The sequence below is a fragment of the Homo sapiens genome, chromosome 17, assembly GCF_000001405.40.
Source record: "Homo sapiens chromosome 17, GRCh38.p14 Primary Assembly".
Classification (NCBI taxonomy): Eukaryota; Metazoa; Chordata; class Mammalia; order Primates; family Hominidae; genus Homo; species Homo sapiens.
Genome location: NC_000017.11, coordinates 47,999,003 through 48,018,372, shown reverse-complemented (window position 1 = coordinate 48,018,372; position 19,370 = coordinate 47,999,003). Strand labels below are relative to the sequence as shown.

Sequence of the window (19,370 nt, the reverse complement as noted above, 5' to 3'; positions counted from 1 at the left end):
TACTCCCTAGACCACAGAGGAGAACCTTGGGGGTTCCCACATCAGAGCTGTGAGCACCTCCATGGGAACACGAAGGTGAGAGACCCTGGGCACCTGGGACAGCAATTGTCCTGAGAAAACAGGGCCTCTGATCAAGAAACACTGTCAAGAAATACAGACCTGGCTGGGCATGGTGTCTCGCTCCTGTAATCCCAGCACTTTGGGAGGCCGAGGTGGGCAGATCACTTTAGGTCAGGAGTTCGAGACCAACATGGCCAACATGGTGAAACCCTGTTTCTACTAAAAATACAAAAATTAGCTGGGCATGGTGACACATGCCTGTAATCCCAGCTACTCGGGAGGGTGAGGCAGGAGAATTGCTTGAACCCAAGAGATGGAGGTTGCAGTGAGCCGAGACTGCGCCACTGCACTACAGCCTGGGTGATGGAGTGAGACTCTGTCTCAAACAAACAAACAGAAAACAAATACAGACCTTTTCCTCCAACTCTGGAGATTTGGACCCATTCCCCAAGGTAGCTGGGAGGTTGAGGAAGGGGTCTGAGGGGCTTGGGCACTGACTGAAGTTTATACTCTAAGGTAGAAAAAAAAAAGTGGATCTTTCTGGGAGAGCAAGCTAGAGGCCTTCAGATTAGGAAAGTGAAACTCAAAGGTTGACTTACCCAATGTCACACAGCTAACAAGGGACAGAACTGAGACAAGAAAGAGGGTTTCCTGGAACCCTCTTACCTCTTCCTCTTTCTGCCCTGTGTTTTCTGCAGATCATGAGAATATAACGTTTATAAATAGAATTCCCTTGACAAGGAGTGCCTTCCTGGGCAGTAAGAAAAAATAGCAGGGCTCTTGACTCAAAACCCCAATGCACATTTTTCTTTGCATGCTTTTTTTTTTTTTAACAGTCTCACTCTATCACCCAGGCTAGTGTACAGTGGCACAGTCTCTGCTCACTGCAACCTCCACCTCCCAGGTTCAAGTAATTCTCCTGCCTCAGCCTCTTGAGTAGCTGGGATTACAGGCACCTGCCACCATGCCTGGTTAATTTTTGTATTTTTAGTAGAGACGGGGTTTCACCATGTTGCCCAGGCTGGTCTCGAACTCCTGAGCTCAAGCAATCTGCCCACCTCGGCCTCCCAAAGTGCTGGGAGCCACCATGGCTGGCTCCAATAGCGTTTTCTAATTTTTATTTTATTTATTTATTTATTTATTTATTTATTTATTTATTTATTTATTGAGACAGAATCTTGCTCTGTCGCCCAGGCTGGAGTAAGTGGCGCCATCCTGACTCACTGCTGCATGTGCCTCCTGGGTTCAAGTGATTCTCGTGCTTCAACCTCCCAAGTAGCTGGGACTAGAGGCACACAACACCATGCCCAGCTAATTTTTGTATTTTTAGTAGAGACAGGGTTTCACCATATTGGCCAGGCTAGTCTCAAACTCCTGACCTCAAGTGATCCTCCCGCCTTGGCCTCCCAAAGTGCTGGGATTACCGACATAAGCCACCACGCCCAGCACGTCTGTTTTTTAAATAATGAAATTAATAAGTGAGTCCCATCAGCTGCACTTCTTTTCTGAGGATAATTTATATACAAGACACAGAAAAGCTTCTTGCACAATGTTCTTTTAATAGGATTTATGTAAACTCACATTTGTCAGGATCCGTAAAAGTATTCTATTTCTTTCACACATGTAATTTTTTTGTACCTCTATCTCAGTGAAGGAGGCAGGCGTTGTCATTCCCACTTGTGAGGTGATTGAGGATGCTCTCGGGTGCTGGGAGCAGAAGCAATGCGGCCTGAACCCAGGTATGGATTTCATTTTGAAGAAAGGTCTCCTTGTAGGGCACTATCCTGGACCCAGTGGGCCTGCCCTTCCTATTTATTTCTTAGTGAAACCAGAAAGTTTGCTGGGGCCAGTATGATGGAGCATCGTGACTGACAAATGGCTGGGATTAGTCTAATGGGTAGGCAGCTGTATATGGAGGAAGGCGATGAGGGATCAGACCATTTCCCCAGATTCCAGTGGAAACTTTGCAGGCAGTAGCTAAATGAGTCAGAGAAGATAAGAAGACTGGAGTACCTTGCAGAACACTTCCCATACCCTCCCACCTCCAGCCCCAAGGAGGATTAGGATGCAGGGAGTCTGCAGATGAAACAGTTGTTTACAAAGGCTGGAGAAGCATGCCAGGAAACTAGTCCAGGGGCAGTTTCCAGGGCCTGAGATTGATACTACTCCATCTTGAAAACTGAAAAAAAAAAAAAAAAAAAAAAAAAAAAAAGTGTGACTCTTTAGTTCTGTACTCCCTTTAGTTCTGGGAGTGCATTTGGAGTTTCCTTTAAATTCTATGTGGATACAGGATGCTGAAGGAGGAGAATCACTTGAACCCCAGAGTCAGAGGTTGCAGTGAGATGAGATGATGCCACTGCTCTCCAGCCTGGGCGACAGAGTAAGACTGTTTCAAAAATAAAACAAAAGGCCAGGCGTGGTGGCTCACGCCTATAATCCCAGCACTTTGTGACTCCATCTCAAAAAAAAAATAATAAATAAATAAAATAAAATAAATTGTATGTGGATAAATTGAGGAGAGCTAAGGTGCAACACATGAGAAAGAGACAAGGGGTGGGGGTGGGCACAGTGGCTCACGCCTGTAATCCCACCACTTTGGGAGGCCAAGGCAGGTGGATCACCTGCGGTCAGGAGTTCACCAGCCTGGCCAACATGGTGAAACCTTGTCTCTACTAAAAATACAAAAATTAGCTAGGCATGGTGGCACACGCCTGTAGTCCCAGCTACTCCGGAGGCGGAGGCAGGATTGTTGCTTGAGCCCATGAGGCAGAGGTTGTAGCGAGCCGAGATCACGCCACTACACTCCAGCCTGGGCGACACAGTGAAACTCCAACTCAAAAAGAAAAAAAAAAGGGGGCGGGCGTGGGTGCTGGGAAGGCAAGAAGGAAATAGCAGAGGAGAGACAAGGGAACTCCTGGCTTGGGAAGGCTCTTGCCTGTCCCACCTCATGCAAGCATAAGCACTCCTGCCAAGACGGGGGCCCTCCGGAGGATGTCCAACTTAAAGCTCAGATCCTGGGCAGCAGCAATGGGGAGGGGATTGGGGTATCCCAGGGCAGATGGCCTTAAGGGACCTATTTGTAGAGGCAGAGGCCCAGAGGCTGTCATATGCAAGCTGCTTAGGGTCACAAGAGAAATCCGGAGCTTCCCTGATGACCATCTTTCTTCTCCTCCTCTTTCTGACTCTCTTCTTCCTTCCACTCTCCCTAAACCTGCTGAATCCCTTAGGCAGCTGGGATCAACATAAGCTAGAAACTGATGCGTATACAAGGGAAATCGGGAAGCCTAGAAACAGCAGAACCTGGGAGGGGTACCTGTGTACAGGGCAAATGAAGGGAGCCTGAAAACAGCTGAATCTGGGGAGATGGAACTGCCTAGTGAGAGAGCAAGGGGCTTCTGGAAACTGCTGAATCCAGGGAGGCCAATTTGTATACCGGGGAAATATGGGGGAACCTAGAAACAGCAGGATCTGGGGAGACAGTCGTGTACAGGGGGCAGACAGAGGGAGTAGCCTGAAAACAGTTGAATCTGGGGAGGAAGATTCGTGTGCAGAGGGAACAAGGGGAGACTGGAAACAGCACAATCTGGGGAGATAGGATAGTGTACAGTAGAAGCTAGGGTGGCCTGGAAACTGGGGCTCTCAGGGGATGAATCTGCTTTAAATTGCACGGGGGGGTGAGGGAGCCTGGGGAATCTGATGTGGCAGGCGCGAGCAGGGACACGGGCAAGCACAGGGGTGGAGTCAGGGTGCTGGTTGCATGGAAGGGGAACGCAATGGAACTCCCTGCCTTGTAGGTTTGAGTTAGACCCCTTGGCAGCCTCTTCTTGCAGACAGGGCAGGGTAAGGGAGTAGCTCTCCAATGGGGAGCCAGGATTTCACACGGCAAGAAGAGAAGGGCCTTTGTGTGCAGTTGCTGCCCTGGTCCTAAAATGAGCAAAGCCTGGAATTCCCTAGGGGAAACAGCCCAGGAGTTGGAGTGGGAGAGGATGAGGAGGTTGAAGGAGCTTCGGTCCCCTTGCCTGCCTTCTTCCCAACCCCTCTCTGACAGGGATAGGCCTCTTTCTCCCTTTCTACCGACCAGCCTGACCTCTCCCTTCAGCAGTTCCCTTCTGAGTGACAGACAGACAAAGACAGAGCTGTAGACCATTGACTGAAGGAGGCCCCACAAAAGTTCTCTCCCAACCCACCATCCCCCCATACCCTCCCCAGAGGCCCTGAGCCAGCCAGGGCCAACAGGAGCTGTCACTCTAGTGGAGCTGCCTTCAGGTAGGTGACAGGCCTTCAGGAGGCAGGGTGACTAGGGGCTGGGAAAGGCCTGAGATTTTTGGGATTCTGTCTGTGCCTCTTGGAAACCAGAGTTTCCCAGCCGGTTGCCTCTGAGAGAGGACTTGGAAACCAGAGTTTCCCAGCTGGTTGCCTCTGAGAGAGGAAAGAGGGCAGAACAGTGGCCACTATTGCAGAAATAAAAACCTGGTTCCACTATTTCTAGCTGTGGGATCTTGGCCAGTTGTCATTCCTCTCTGGATTTCAGTTTTTTCATCTGTAAAATGAAGGATCGGTCCAGATCTCTAAAGGCCCTTGCAGCTCTAGCATGAGGATTCTTAGTAGCCTCGGAGAGAGAGCTCAGCCTGGCATTTCTTCTTATTTGCTAATACGGCTCAGAACTTTCCGGCGAACATTGGAAGGAGGCTGGCATTTGGGATGTTGTGAGAGTGTTTAAGCAAGCTTTCCCTGGCATTGGTAACACTTCTGGAACATGAGTGTTTCTACTTTTCGTCACTCCAAAGGGTTCCTCCCCTTGAGCAAAATTATTTTTTACGCCAACCACCTCAGGCTTCCTGCCTTGTGATTTAGGCTGGAAGGTGGAATCTGAACCCAGAATCTCATCTTCCTGTCCCAAATCTGCCTTCTTCCCTGCCGGCCTCACTCCCAACCTCTCTGTGCTCTCTTGCCTCTGGCTTCTGTTATTACCTCGTTTCTCCTAAAGCCAGGGATGTTTATGCTTGGGATCTTATAGTGAAGCCTCAGAGTCTCAGGGAAAGGACCCTCCTCCCCTAACAGAAAGACAGCCAGGTACCCCAAGGCCCCGAGGCATCGCACTGCCCCTTGTTCATTACTAAGTCCGGAGAGGGTTCGCAGTGCATCCCTTGCAAGGCTGCCAGCCGGGGGTACATCTGAGACCACCTATAAAAAACCACCCTCAGCCTGGAAGCATGGAAAGCATAGTGTGTGTGTGATGTGGAGGGGGTCAAATAACCATGGGCCTAACTCAGGCCAGGCCTGAGTGGCTAGAGTACCAGACCTGTGCTTCTCCACTCCTCCCTTTAGTCTGAGAAACCACTGCGTTTAGCACAAGAAGCATGGCTTGGGCTGATGCTCTGATGGTTCCAGAAACCCTGCCCACCTCCAGGCTGTGCAGATGAAATCATTCCCAGCACTTACAGAACGGGAATGGAAGAGTCTTGTCCAGATGGAAGGGGAACTATGGTTGCCTGCCTTACCTCTCTTGGGGACCTCAGGTGACCTGCCTCAACATACCAAGGGGGAGGAGGAGGAGTCTTCAGGGGACAGTGCTGGGAGCTGGACTCCCGGGGTTCAATGTCACCAAAGATGGCCTGGGGACACAGAACCTCTTGCGAACCGCACTGGGTCCAGTCCTCCCTAAACACAGGCTGAGTGCGGGTCGTCTCTCCCCCACTCTGCCTTCCTGGGCACCGTCAGGGATGCGCGGGCAGTTCTCAATGAGTCCCAAGGCTGTGGGAGCTGAAGGGGTAGTGGGCCGGGCGGAGGAGGGAGGGGGGAGGGGGGAGGGGATCTGATTAGAATCCGGGCCGTATGGCGAACACTGCGGAGATGGAGGTAATCACTGAGCGGGCGAGACAGCGTGCTCGGCGACAGCAGGCGGCCCCGCCGTCGCCATGGCAACCGCGGCCTCCGGGGCGCGCGGCTAGGCGCAGCTCCGCGTCTGCGGCGGAACATCTGCTTTGCACAGGGCTGCTGGGAGCCAGGGGGCGCGGGCGCGGCTGCTCCCCCCACCCCGCGAAAAAGAAACAAATTAGGCCAACTGTCCAATGAGGGGCCGCAAATGTATTTATTAATGCGAGGGAAAGGTTGTTCCGGAGCGCAGTTTGATTAATGTTTGAGTCTTCAGCTTGTCAGTCTGGTTTTGTCTCCTGCAAAAGGGGAAAAGGGAGGGGTTGGGTGAGGGGCTGGTAGGGGACTGGGGAGGAGAGAGACAACAAAGCGGGAGGGGATGTTAATAGCCAAATAGGCTCTTTTTCATGTTTCCCCCAGCCTGCCATCCTTGATGGATGGCTCAGACAGACACCAGAGCGCATCAGGGAGACGCAAGCCCCTCAGAGAGATGGCGGGATGGAAGAGAGGGGACCGCTGGAGCCTGGCTGGGGTCGGTGCGGCGGGAACTCCCGAGGGCTGCCTGGAGAGGAATGGCCCAGGAAACGGGCAACTTCTGGGGAAACCAGAGGAAAATTGCACTCATGTTTACAAGTCTCCCCTCCCCTCCCCAGTTTGCCCCTCTGGGCCCTGGAGATAGCACCGAGGTCGGAGAGTGAGGGGTCTCCATACTTTCTGGATATAGAAAGAGGCGAGAAGCTCTCATCCGTGTGTTAGGGACGGGAGAAGGGAAGTAGGCAAAAGCCTATGCTTCGAATTCTCCTTCCTCTCTCTTTCCTCCACCCTTTTCTTTTCTTTCCTCTCACCCTATGTCCTCGGCCGTATATCATGTCTTCACTTTTGCTCCGTCGTCCCTCCTTCCTCTTCGTCTCTTCTGTTGTTTCTTTCCTCCATCTCCCCCATGCCCCGTTGGTGACATCAGCTGGCTGTGATAGGAACTGCCTTGCGAAGATGTCTTCTGTGACCAGTCTGAACACCTATAATGCTTTCTATTTTTCCTTCTCTAGAGTCATGGGGGAACTGAGAGCCCCCTTGGAAACTCAAATTTGACGACCCAGTTTGTGAGAAAACACAACCCCACCCCTTTTCTACCCTCCCCACTAAATCCTCAGCTCCAGCCCACTAGGAATGTGGAGTGCAAACTGAAAATTACCGATTTCTGGTCAGGCCTGGGATTCAGAAACACAGGAGAAGGTCTGTAAAACTTAGGCTGCTTTGAGGTTAGAGGCTTCCTCTTTACTATCCCTTGACAAAAAAAAAAAAAAAGAAAGAAAGAAAAGAAAAGAAATACCCCTTTAAAGCCTAAGCCAAATTCTAACATTTGACTATGCAGCTCATTTTACCTTCTTGTACAAGAAAGAAGTGCATTTCTACATCTGAAGAGCTTTGCAAGAGGGAAGTTATTGGACACCAAAAAAACCTATTTGATGGTGGGGCACAGTGGCTCATGCCTATAATCCCAGCACTTTGGGAGGCCGAGGCAGATGGATCACTCGAGGTCAGGAGTTCAAGACCAGCCTGGCCAACATGGTGAAACTCCATCTCTACTAAAAATACAAAAAATTATCCGGGTGTGGTGGCATGCGCCTGTAATTCCAGCTACTCGGGAGGCTGAGGTGGGAGAATCGGTGGAAACCGGGAGGCAGAGGTTGCAGTGAGCAGAGATGGTGCCACTGCACTCCAGCCTGGGTGACAGGGTGAGACCTCATCTCAAAAAACAAACAAACAAACAAAAACGTGGAGCAGATCAGAGCCCCACTCTCCACGGAAGATTTTTATTTATTATCAGCAGCATCACAATTATTATATTTAATTATCATTTACAGTGTTGGGATGGAGGGATTATTCTCTTCAAATGTGGTCATAGCACGGTGGTTGAGAGTGGTGGCTCTGGAATCAAACCATCTGGATTGAATTCTGGTTTCTCCACCTACGAGCTGGATGACCATGGGCAAATTACTTAGCTCTCTCTAAGCCTCAGTTTCCTCATCAGTAAAATGGGACTATAGTTGTCCGTAGATCACTGGGTTGTAGAAAGGACAAATGACATAATCCATATAAAGTGTATAGCATTGTGTATAATGATTATTATGTGCCCAATACACATTGGCTGTTACTTGGTTATAGATCCTTTTCAAACACATCCCATGATCACCAGCACTGAATATGCATTGCACTCCAACTATGTATGTGGCATTACATTAAATATAAGGTAGCAAGAGATATAAACATGACTTCTGCTCTCAAAGGTTTACAGTCTTTCTGATGAGAAACAGTAGATGCATTAAAAATTACAAATCACCTAAGGAATCGTATGCCAAGTGCCAAATGAATAGTCAAATGCCAGATGCTTCAACGCTCAGCTCCAAGGGAGGGATTGCAGGACTTGGAGCTAGGGGTCCCCCGCAAAAGGGGCCACAGAGCCTGGGTCTTTAAGGAAGTGAGGGGTGGAATGAAGTGAAGTGAAAAAGGGAATGGCATGAGCAAAGACTATGAGGATGGCTTGCTTTTGAATGAATGAGTCTGGCTGCATCTATAGAGGAAACTTGGGGCTGAGTAGGTGGCCTGTGCTGGTAGTTCCAGCTACTCTGGAGGCTGAGGCATGAGGATCACTTGAGTCCAGGAGTGTGTGACCAGGCTGGGCAACACAGCAAGATCTCATCTCTAAAAAAGATAAAAATAAAGTTTATCAGCCTGGGCAACATAGCGAGACCTGTCTCTACAAATAAAAAATTGGCCGGGCATGGTTATGGCTGCCTGTGGTCCCAGCTACTTGGGAGGCTGAGGTAGGAAGATGGCTTGAGCTCAGGCAGTCAAGGCTGGGAGCTGGGAAGGTGCCACTGCACTCCAGCCTGGGAGGCAGAGTGAGACCCTGTTTCAAAAATAAATAAATAAATAAAATAAAAATAAAGTGTAGACTTGATAAGAATCTTGAATACAGGGCCAGGCACGGTGGCGCATGCCTGTAATCCCACCACTTTGGAAGGCTGAGGAGGGTGAATCACCTGAGGTCAGGAGTTCGAGACCAGCCTGGCCAACATGGTGAAACCCTGTCTCTACTAAAAACACAAAAATTAGCCAGGCATGGTGGCGCATGCCTGTAGTCCCAGCTACTCAGGAGACTGACACAGGAGAATTGCTTGAACCCAGGAGGCGGAGGTTGCAGTGAGCCGAAATTGCGCCACTGCACTCCAGCCTAGGCGACAGAGCGAGACTCCATCACCAAAAAAAAAAAAAGAATCTTTTTTTTGTTTGTTTTGGGGACTTTTTTGGAAAATGGCAGCCATAGAAAAACATTCAAACCATCCCACCACCTTCCAAGGATGAGGATCTGGTTCCTTTGAGGAAAGCAACACAAATGTGCTGAAGACTCTGAAGATAATTCCCATGGAGCCTTCCCATTTTCCAAAAAAAGTTTTGAAACTGCTTTTAGCAATGGCAAAGTGTTGAAATAGAATTATAGCCTCCTACTAAGAAGTCATGACAACTGAGTGCCATCTATGATCCTGGATTGTATCCTGGACTGGCCGTAGAGAGGGTTTGACAATGGAAATAGTCATAAAGGACATTACTGGAAAAATGGATGGACATTGAATATGGGTTGTACATTAGACGGTAGTTTCATAACAATGTTAAATTTATTGATTTTGATCATGATACTGAGGTTGTTTGTGTAAGAGAATGCCTTTGTTCTTAGGAAACACATACTAGAATATTTAGGAGTAAAGGGACAGGATGTCTCCAATGTACTCTCCAAAAGTTGCAAAAAAATGCATATGTAAACATGTAGATAGATAAGGATGAAATGAATGGAGCAAAATGTAAACAATTGATGAATCTGGGTAAAGGGCACATGGGAGTTCTTTGTACTATTTTTGACATTTTTTTATAAGTTTGAAATTTATCAAAATAAAAAGTTACCAAAAAACCAACTATATAGCCTCCATCTGAAGGAGAGAGATTCATTTAGATGTTGATTCTTTCTTTCTTTCTTTTTTTTTTTTTTTGAGACAGAGTTTCGCTCTGTTGCCCAGGCTGGAGTGCAGTGGTGCCATCTCGGCTCACTGCAAGCTCCGCCTCCCAGGTTCACGCCATTCTCCTGCCTTAGCCTCCCAAGTAGCTGGGACTACAGGTGCCCACCACCACACATGGCAAATTTTTTTTTTGTATTTTTTTTTTAGTAGAGACAGGGTTTCACCATGTTAGCCAGGGTGGTCTTGATCTCCTGACCCCGTGATCGGCTCACCTCAGCCTCCCAAAGTGCTGGGATTACAGGCATAAGCCACCGTGCCCGGCCAGATGTTGATTCTTTCAAAATGGTCCTCTTAGGAGGCACTGTACTTTTCAACACTTTATCAGGATTGGGTGAAAACATGAAAGACAAGCTCATCAGCTCTGTGGATGACACACAGCTAAAAGAGAGAATTAATGTTTCGGGTGACAGGCTAAGGATTTAATAAGATCTTAGCAGGATGGAAACATTGGCCGAAATCGAACACAGTTTAACATGATGTATGCTCCATCAGTGTTAAATTGAGTTGAGTGAGGTGAAATTTAAAAGAATTAAATAAGTTTTATACTTGTCACCAAAAGAGTTAATTCAGTAGGAATGAGGAAGACATGGTCTAAGAGTGACATATACTAAAAACAGTAAGTTTAGTTGCCTGCAACCTCAATATGCTGATATGATAGAGAAGCTACTATGGGCCGGGCATGGTGGCTCACACCTGTAATCCCAGCAATTTGGGAGGCTGAGGAGGGCAGATCACATGAGGCCAGGAGTTCGAGCCAGCCTGGCCAACATGATGAAACCTTGTCTCTACTAAAAATACTAAAATTAGCTTGGCGTGGTGGTGTAATCCCAGCTACTGGGAGGCTGAGGCACAGGCATTGCTTGAATCCGGGAGGCGGAGGTTGCAGTGAGCCGAGATTGTGACACTGCACTCTAGCCTGGGAGACAGAGTGAAACTCTAAACAAACAAACAAATAAAACTGCTGTGATCTGCGTCTGCTGTAAAAAATTATAGATTCTGAGCTGCATTAATAAAATACAGTCTTTAGAACAAGGGAGGTGATGGTCTTTCTTTATCCTGTGCCCTTTGGAATTAATCTTTAGGTCTGGGGCACTATTTATAAAGAAAGGCATTGCTAATGAAAAAGCCTATGGGATATATAAACAATAGTGAGATTTTGAAAGGAGAGCACTTGAGGAATAGGTGAAGGAATTAGGAATGTTTAACTCTCAGGGATTCCTTTTGGCTGCCTTCTAGACATTTGATTGGCATCTGAACTGTGGAGGAAGATTTACATATTCTCCATCAATTCACACAATGAAAAAAGGACAGAAGGAGGTGAATTACAGGGAAATAGTCTCTGGTTTAGTATGAGAAAGATTTTTCTAAACATTAAAACAGGGCCAGGCGCGGTGGCTCACGCCCGTAATCCCAGCATTTTGGGAGGCCGAGGAGGGCGGATCACGAGGTCAGGAGATCAAGACCATCCTGGCTAACACGGTGAAACCCCGTCTCTAATAAAAATACAAAAAATTAACCCGGCGTAGTGGTGGGCGCCTGTAGTCCCAGCTACTCCTGAGGCTGAGGCAGGAGAATGGCGTGAACCCGGGAGGCAGAGCTTGCAGTGAGCCGAGATGGCACCACTGCACTCCAGCCTGGGTGACAGAGCCAGACTCCATCTCAAAAAAAACAAAAACAAACAAACAAAAAAAAAACATTAAAACAGCCTGAAAATAGAAAGGTATTACCTAGTGAGGTAATAAGTTATCTGTGGCTGGAAGTATCCAAAGAAGGCTATTATGAGGGCTACTATAATAATAATTCTTGCAACAGGAAGGACCCTAGGTTAGGTAGACTGCTGGTCTGTTGAACTCTAAAGTTCTAGGTAATTACATGTCTATTTAGAAACAAAAACAAAAACAAAAACAAAAAAACACCTACCAGCCTCTCTTCTCTGTGGTCTTTATTATATAATGTTTACAGAAACTGCCCACACACCCACTGATTGTATAAAGCTTGGGACTGGACTGGGAGCTTCTTCATTTTGAATTCCTTGCTTCCCTACCCCATCTCTTTTCCAGCCTTCCATCCTGCCCCTTAGTTGCCTCTGTCCAGAACTTTCCATGTCTGCCTGCAGGATGGGACTTCTTGAGAGATCTGTAATATTGAAAATTCTGCCAGGCACAGTCGCTCATGCTTGTAATCCCAGTACTTTAGGAGGCTAAGGCGGGCGGATCACTTGACACAAGAAATTCGAGACCAGCCTGGCCAACATGATGAAACACCGTCTCTACTAAAAATACAAAAATTAGCTAGGCGTGGTAGCACGTGCTTATAATCCAGCTACTTGGGATGCTGAGGCACGAGAATTGCCTGAACCCAGGAGGTGGAGGTCAAAGTGAGCTGAGATTGTGCCACTGCACTCCAGCCTGGGCAACAGGGTGAGACTGTCTCAAAAAAAAAAAAAAAAAAAAAGAGGCCACATGCAGTGGTTCATGCCTGTAATCTCAGCACTTTGGGAAGCCAAGGTGGGCGGATCACTTGAGGTCAGGAGTTCGAGACCAGCCTGGCCAACATGGTGAAACCCCGTCTCTATAAAAAATACAGAAGTTAGCCAGGCATGGTGGCACGTGCCTGTAATCCCAGCTCCTTGGGTGACTGAGGCAGGAGAATCGCTTGAACCCGGGAGACAGAGGTTGCAGTGAGCCGAGATGGCGCCACTGCACTCCAGCCTGGGTGACAGAGCAAGACTCCATCTCAAAAACAAAAACAAAAACAGGACAAAAAACAAAAAAAAAAAAAAAAAAAGCTGGGTATTGTGCCAGTCTCCCTACTGAGGCTGACTCTAACCCATAGCTGACTGGCATTTGCTCTCAGAGCACAGTTTCTGCATTTGAGGAATTTCGCTGGAATCCCAGCACTCTTCTTAGTGTGGCAGAAGGCAAGGTGAAGGTGTGAGTTAGTGGAATATGTGGGTTCTAAACACCAAGCGGAGCAAACCCCCAAGGATGGACAGCACATCTCAAGAGCAAAGGAAGGTAGAAAACAGAGATCAGAGACAGCCTCTCTTTCTCTCCTGTAGCCTTTCCCCCCAGTTCTTTTCTGTTTTAATCACAGGAAGAGTGATTAGTCAGCCGAGGAAGGATGGGGGAAGAAAGCAGATGAGTTTTATCTGGCTGGGGTCTGCCCAAGCTGCAGCCATGTGACTACCTGGCTGACCTGGGGTCTCCATCATGTCCCTGCCTGTCCACAAGACGGATCAGGCTGCCCTTCTCTGCAGCACCCACCCCCGCCCCCATTCCAGGAGAGGGTTGCTAGGATAATTATAGCCTACTTGTTTCTCTCTCTCCCTCTCTCTTATTCCTGTAGGTCCTGGACATTTTTTACTTTCTCAGAGGACTGGGGAACTTCTTCAACACTGTAGTAAACTAGAATCTGGAAAGTTCCTTCCAGCAGAAATGAGGAGGTTAAATTCTCAGAAATGATTTCTATTTTTTACCCTTCTCTACCCACCTCCCTCCCAATGTTAACTGGGAACCTATTGCTTTGCCCTTCATTTCAACAACACAGAGCCTTTCCCCAAATATTCAGGCCTCTCTGTCATCCTTAAAACTGCTCCCCTCGACCTGCTGGGCTCAAGTGACTCACTCACCTCAGGCTCCTGAGTAGCTGAGACTACAGGCATGCACCACTTCTGGCTAATTTTTATATTTTTTGCAGAGACGGGGGTCTCATCATGTTGCCCAGTCTGGTCTCGAACTCCTGGGCTCAAGCTATCTGCCCACCTTGGCCTCCCAAAGTGCTGGGATTACAGGCATGAGCTACTGTGCCCAGCCTCGGGTATCTCATGCAGTATTGAAGGAAACAGACCTGGCTTTGAATCCTAGTTCTATCAGTTGCAAGCTCTGTGACCTTGGATAAGTGGCAAAATCTCTCAGAGGATCCATTATTCCACTTGTGAAATGGGAATAATTATACCCATTCACACAATTTTTGTAAAAATTCAACAAAATAATGCATGTAAAGCTCTTAGCCAATGACTGGCAAAGTAAGTGCTCAAAAGATGGCAACTACTGCTCCTAGGGCTCACCTTTGTTTGTGCTAAGTGGATGAAGCAAAAGGAGATGGCAGGGGTTAAGGGAAACACACCAGAAAGGAGGCTCACAGAGGAGATGCTGAAAGGGATGGATTTGGTTAATGTAGGACAGATGGCGGAGAAGGAGGAAGAAGACGGGGAGAAGGAAAGGGGAAGGAAAAGGCTCATTGGAGACTAGCCTGGCAGAGTAAGAGAGAAAGTTGGGATGCACAGAACAAGACAGAGCACGGGAAAGGGATGGACAAAGAGCAGATGGGAGAGGAAGACAGAATGACAAAGACGCGGAGGGCGGGGGAAACCCAGCTGGTGTGAAACAGACAAGAGGTGCTGGAGAAGACAGAAGAAAAAGAGAAAACCAAGGGGTGGGGGGCGGTGTCAAAATGAGACAGGGAAGCAGGGGCAGGACAGACAGACTGAGAGCGAGTTGGGAAAGCACAAGACGGACAGACAGATGGCAGGGACAAGAGGGTGCCCTGGGTTGCCTGCATTCTGCTGTGTTTACCAGCTAATTGAGTTAAATTGTTGTCAGAGATGTAATTAAAGGGTAGAGAGAGCTCTCTGGCAGGCCCGAAACAGATGGAGGGGGCTTTAATTGGTAATTAAATTCTTCCCTGGCAGCTGAGGAAGGAGCTTGTGCTTCAGTCTCACAAGGCCACGGGTGGCCTTCCCCCCACTCCTGGCCCCTCTCAGGGGCTCTTTGGGGAGGGGGCTGGGCCCTGCGCACCAGCAGCCCGGCAGGCGGCGAGGCCTGGTAACTGCAGGAGAATGAATGCCAAAGCGACCCTTCTTCCCTGCTGGGGCTGGCTCAGCTCCCATGAGCGAATCCAAGCACACCCACCCCCGCGCCTGCTCCTCCCCAACCTCCCCACCCTCACCCACCAAACTAGCATTGACCGATGAATTCCTACGTGGCCCCCATTGCTTCACTTGGGATCCCAGGGAAGAATAGTGGGGCTCTGGCCCTGCAGCCTGATCAGCTTGGGAAGAGTTAGTTGGTTTAGTCAGGGACCCAGGCAGACCCATCTCTTGGCATGGCTCCCACGAGTCTGTCAGCATCTGCCCCCCTCCCCCTTCCAGGAGACGCTGTGCAGAGATTCTATTCTGCGTGGCACATCACTGTCTGGCGCTGACTCTGCTTCCATCCTTCTCCACCCCCTGCCCTCACCCCCACAGCAGCAAATAAGACAGGGATGGGATCAGTCACCCTGATGGGCAGATAGATTGGTTAGATGCTCTAAGATGTGGGCATTCAGACTAATCAGCTTTCAATTCCAAATCTCAATTTGACCTTAATTTCATTGGAGAAGGACCCTTGGGATGGCAGATTTCCCTGAAACCCACAAATTCTAGACGTGATCCATTTCAAAGAAAGAGATAAGTAAAAAGAGAGCACAGAGGCAAGGCTTTTTAAAAGAAGGCTGAACAGGAAGTTAGGCAGAAAGAAAATCCAGGGCAGACATTGTGGGATTATTGTAAAATGCATGGCTGACTATGAGTCAGCAATACAGTGCTATTCTTACAAAAGCAAGCTGCATGCCGGATGCATAAATAAGGAACCTGGGGGTCATTCTCATTATATCTCAGCTGATCAGACAAAAGTTCTTTGTCTTGCTCTGGACTCCAGGGAGCCTAGAGAGTCACAGGCGAGTTTCAAGGGGTTTCTGGGAGAACTGTAGAAATGACAGAAGGATTTGTGAGGCAGAGTGCCCGACTGTATGAATTTTCACTCAGTTTGTCAAGCATTCTCTGTTTTTTTGCCTTCAGCCCCACATATGCTGGTCTTTCTGCCAGGATCTTTGCTCTCCACCCTCCCTTCCACATCCTTGGACTAACTGCTACTTATCCTAAGTCCGCAAATTAGCACTCCTTTCCTTCTTTCCCCTCCCTCCCTTCCTTCCTTCCTTCCTTCCAGTTGAGTCTCACTCTCTTGCTACATGCTGGAAAGCAGTGGTACAAACACCACTCACTGCACCCTCCACCTCCCAGGCTAAAGCAATTCTCTTGCCTCAGCCTCCTGAGTAGCTGGGATTACAGGCACACGCCACCACACCCAGCTATTTATTTTATTTTATTTTATTTTATTGTAGAGATGGGGTTTTGCTATGTTGCCTAGGTTGGTCTCAAATCCCTGGGCTCAAGGGATCCGCCTGCCTCGGCCTCCCAAAATGCTGGGATTACAGGCATGAGCCACCATACCCGACCCTTCATTTCTTCAGGAGGCTTTGCCCCACCCCATCTTACCATCCCAACATCTGCCCTAGCCTGACATCCTGACATGCTATTTTTTTTATTATTATTTTTTAGAGATGAGGGTCTCGCTGTGTCGCCCAGGCTGGAGTGCAGTGGTGCAATCAAGGCTCACTGAAGCACCGTGACCTCCTCCCAGGCTCAAGCAATCCTCCCACCTCAGCCTCTCAAGTAGCTGGGACCACAGGCATGTGTTACCATACCCGGCTAATTTTTTAATTTTTTGTAGAGACAGGGTCTCACTATGTTGCCCAGGCTGGTCTCAAACTCCTGACTTCAAGCGATCCTCCTGCCTTGGCTTCCCAAAGTGTTGAGATTATAGGCATGAGCCACCATTGCAAATTTAACTGTCTGACTCCCTTAAAAGGCTATAAGATGCAAAAGCCAAGGATAGTGTCCATTTTGCTCATCTCCCCAACAGCTACTAAAGGACCTGGTGAGTAGGAGGTGCTGAATTAATTTTTATTGAATGAAGAAATAAACCCAGAACATTCAGGGTGAAGAAAGCAAACTCTGAAATCATCAGTGAAGTTATTATGCAGATGAGAGGCCTAGAAATGCAGCCAAGATTTAGGTTAGCTGTGGGAAAGAACTCTTTTTTTTTTTTTTTTTTTTTGGTCTTTCCCTATTTGCTAAGGGAAAATGAGGAAATCTCTTTTAGAAACAGAAAGAAGACAAAGTCTTATGACTGGTCAGCTGGTGGTAGCCTTCACCCTCTGCTGTGGGAGGTCAGGAGAGGGAGTGTGCTGGTTCCCAAACACCAGACCCCTCCCCAACGGGAGATTTTTAATAATCAGTATGTCTAGAGGCAGGGTAAGAAATTGTACTTTTTATTTTATTTTTTAAAATTATTTATTTATTTATGTATTTATTTTTTGAGACGGAGTCTCGCTCTGTCGCCCAGGCTGGGGTGCAGTGGCGCGATCTCAGCTCACTGCAGCCTCCACCTCCTGGTTTCACGCCATTATCCTGCCTCAGCCTCCCAGGTAGCTGGGACCACAGGCGTCCGCCACCACGCCCAGCTAATTTTTTGTATTTTTAGTAGAGATGGGGTTTCACCGTGTCAGCCAGGATGGTCTCGATCTCCTGACTTCATGATCTGCCCGCCTTGGCCTCCCAAAGTGCTGGGATTACAGGCGTAAGCCACCACGCCCAGCCTATTTTTATTTATTTATTTATTTTTTGAGACGGAGTCTCGCTCTGTCACCCAGGTTGGAGTGCAGTGGTGCAATCTTGGCTCACTGGGTTCACGCCATTCTTCTGCCTCAGCCTCCTGAGTAGCTGGGACTGCAGGCGCCCACCACCTTGCCCGCCTAATTTTTTTGTATTTTTAGTAGAGACGGGGTTTCACCGTGTTAGCCAGGATGGTCTCAATCTCCTGACCTCATGATCCACCTGCCTCGGCCTCCCAAAGTGCTGGGATTACAGGCGTGAGCCACCGCGCCTGGCCTAGAAATTGTACTTTTTAAATTGTCCCAGGTAATGACAATTCTGATGATTGGCAGATAGAAATCACTAGATTAAATGCCAGGTTTCTTTCAGTTACAAACATTTGTTTCTCCTCTCCTTTTCTTTTGCTTGCTGGCATTTTTTCCCACCAGCTAGAAGATATCAGCCCAGCTGATTCTACTAGGCTTGAAAGATAGCAAGCTTGGGAATATTGAAATCTTCACAGAACCTTGGCAAAAATAGCAGCGAAACATGCTTGCGGGGTGGGCCCTTCCACTACATGCAGAATGAGAGCTCCATGTTCACCCCTACCGTCCCCATCATAAAGACCAGACTGAAATACGATTTTAAGCCTGGTTCAGTAGCCCCATTCTACAAAACGGTACTGAAATACAAAAAATGTCATGGTCAGGAACTGCTGGAGCTATGGCTTGAGCCCTGCATTTGAACACTGGCCTCCACTTCCTGGCTAGCATCCTCCCCACCACATAAATTGATGAAGCTTATTTGGCTCCAGCTCTCCCTGGATTCATTCATTCATTCAGCATTCATTCTCCTGCAGTATCTGAATGGATTCAAATGTCACTTCATTTACCTTCACCCTGCAGGGCAGAGGCACAGTTGTGGGGAGGTGGGTGACATTCCCTCCCCTAAAGCCATCCTCCTGCCACCCACTGAGAGATCCGCTAGTGAGAGACTGCTCTGGAGGGTGCCACTACCTGCCGAGGCCACCAGAAGGCCTTGGGACCTGCAGGGTTAAGCAACTCCAGAGGTGCTTCCTGGATCATCAAAGTTGACTTGCCCACACAGACAAGGCTCGATTAGCTAAATACAGTCATAAAACCTAAGCCTCATCATTGTTCGTCATTCTTCCTCCTGCATCACCTCTTGTGGCCTGTTACTTAGACTCACAGGATTGAGAGCTGGCACAAATCTCAGACTTCAAGTCCTGGGTTTTGGCAAAGCTTGATGTGTGTGAGGGGAGTGGGGAACCCTTGTTTCAACCAACCAAAGCAGTTCTGTTTATGTGTGTTTTTTTGTTTTGTTGTTTTGTTTTGTTTTGTTTTGTTTTTCAGACAGAGTCTCACACTGTCGCCCGGACTAGAGTGCAATGGCATGATCTCCGCTCACTGCCACCTCTGCCTCCTGGGTTCAAGCGATTCTCCTGTCTCAGCCTCCTGAGTAGCTGGGATTACAGGCATGCGCCACCATGCCCGGCTAATTTTTGTATTTTTAGTAGAGATGGGGTTTCACCATGTTGGCCAGGCTAGTCTCGAGCTGCTGACCTCAGGGGATTCGCCCACCTCGGTTTCCCAAAGGCATGAGCCACTGTGACCAGCCTGTTTATGTGTTTTTATATAACATGTTAGAGTTCTGGCCAGTGTCGTGCTGCTAAAAGTTTACTGGCTGGCTCTCACTTGGAGTGCTGAAGCCCTGATTTGTAGCCTTTGCTTATTTCTGTGGTGTAAATATTTCCACAAAAGCCCATTTCAAGCCACCAACTGGAAATCCCAGTGCAAAGTTGGGAAATGCACATAATTGGCTTTTAGGATCCAGTGCAAGCCAGCTTCAGCATGGCACTGGTTCTGGTC

General features: G+C 48.3%; 1 long non-coding RNA gene across 1 annotated transcript, besides 8 other annotated features; it reads right to left on the bottom strand.

Moving 5' to 3' along the window:
* Positions 570-669: an enhancer, noted in NCBI's record as "active region_12322". NCBI's record gives its function as "activates an Ori minimal core promoter by ATAC-STARR-seq in GM12878 lymphoblastoid cells {active_cell/tissue: GM12878}" and the evidence as "EXISTENCE:reporter gene assay evidence [ECO:0000049][PMID:35858748]".
* Positions 2,347-2,846: an enhancer, noted in NCBI's record as "H3K4me1 hESC enhancer chr17:46092893-46093392 (GRCh37/hg19 assembly coordinates)". NCBI's record gives its function as "activates a minimal SCP1, AML or CMV promoter by ChIP-STARR-seq in primed H9 embryonic stem cells {active_cell/tissue: H9 hESC(primed)}" and the evidence as "EXISTENCE:reporter gene assay evidence [ECO:0000049][PMID:30033119]".
* Positions 2,847-3,348: an enhancer, noted in NCBI's record as "H3K4me1 hESC enhancer chr17:46092391-46092892 (GRCh37/hg19 assembly coordinates)". NCBI's record gives its function as "activates a minimal SCP1, AML or CMV promoter by ChIP-STARR-seq in primed H9 embryonic stem cells {active_cell/tissue: H9 hESC(primed)}" and the evidence as "EXISTENCE:reporter gene assay evidence [ECO:0000049][PMID:30033119]".
* Positions 5,862-5,911: a silencer, noted in NCBI's record as "silent region_8646". NCBI's record gives its function as "represses an Ori minimal core promoter by ATAC-STARR-seq in GM12878 lymphoblastoid cells {active_cell/tissue: GM12878}" and the evidence as "EXISTENCE:reporter gene assay evidence [ECO:0000049][PMID:35858748]".
* Positions 6,133-6,995, bottom strand: LOC124904017 (uncharacterized). The gene is made up of 2 exons (XR_007065826.1): positions 6,780-6,995; positions 6,133-6,280 (listed from the first exon to the last, which is right to left on the bottom strand). It is a non-coding gene; the product is annotated as an uncharacterized LOC124904017 (long non-coding RNA).
* Positions 6,750-6,809: an enhancer, noted in NCBI's record as "active region_12321". NCBI's record gives its function as "activates an Ori minimal core promoter by ATAC-STARR-seq in GM12878 lymphoblastoid cells {active_cell/tissue: GM12878}" and the evidence as "EXISTENCE:reporter gene assay evidence [ECO:0000049][PMID:35858748]".
* Positions 14,696-14,990: a silencer, noted in NCBI's record as "tiled region #8372; K562 Repressive non-DNase unmatched - State 7:EnhWF". NCBI's record gives its function as "represses a minimal TATA promoter and a strong SV40 promoter by Sharpr-MPRA in K562 cells {active_cell/tissue: K562}" and the evidence as "EXISTENCE:reporter gene assay evidence [ECO:0000049][PMID:27701403]".
* Positions 14,696-15,285: a biological region, named in NCBI's record as "Sharpr-MPRA regulatory region 8372".
* Positions 14,731-15,285: an enhancer, noted in NCBI's record as "H3K27ac-H3K4me1 hESC enhancer chr17:46080454-46081008 (GRCh37/hg19 assembly coordinates)". NCBI's record gives its function as "activates a minimal SCP1, AML or CMV promoter by ChIP-STARR-seq in primed H9 embryonic stem cells {active_cell/tissue: H9 hESC(primed)}" and the evidence as "EXISTENCE:reporter gene assay evidence [ECO:0000049][PMID:30033119]".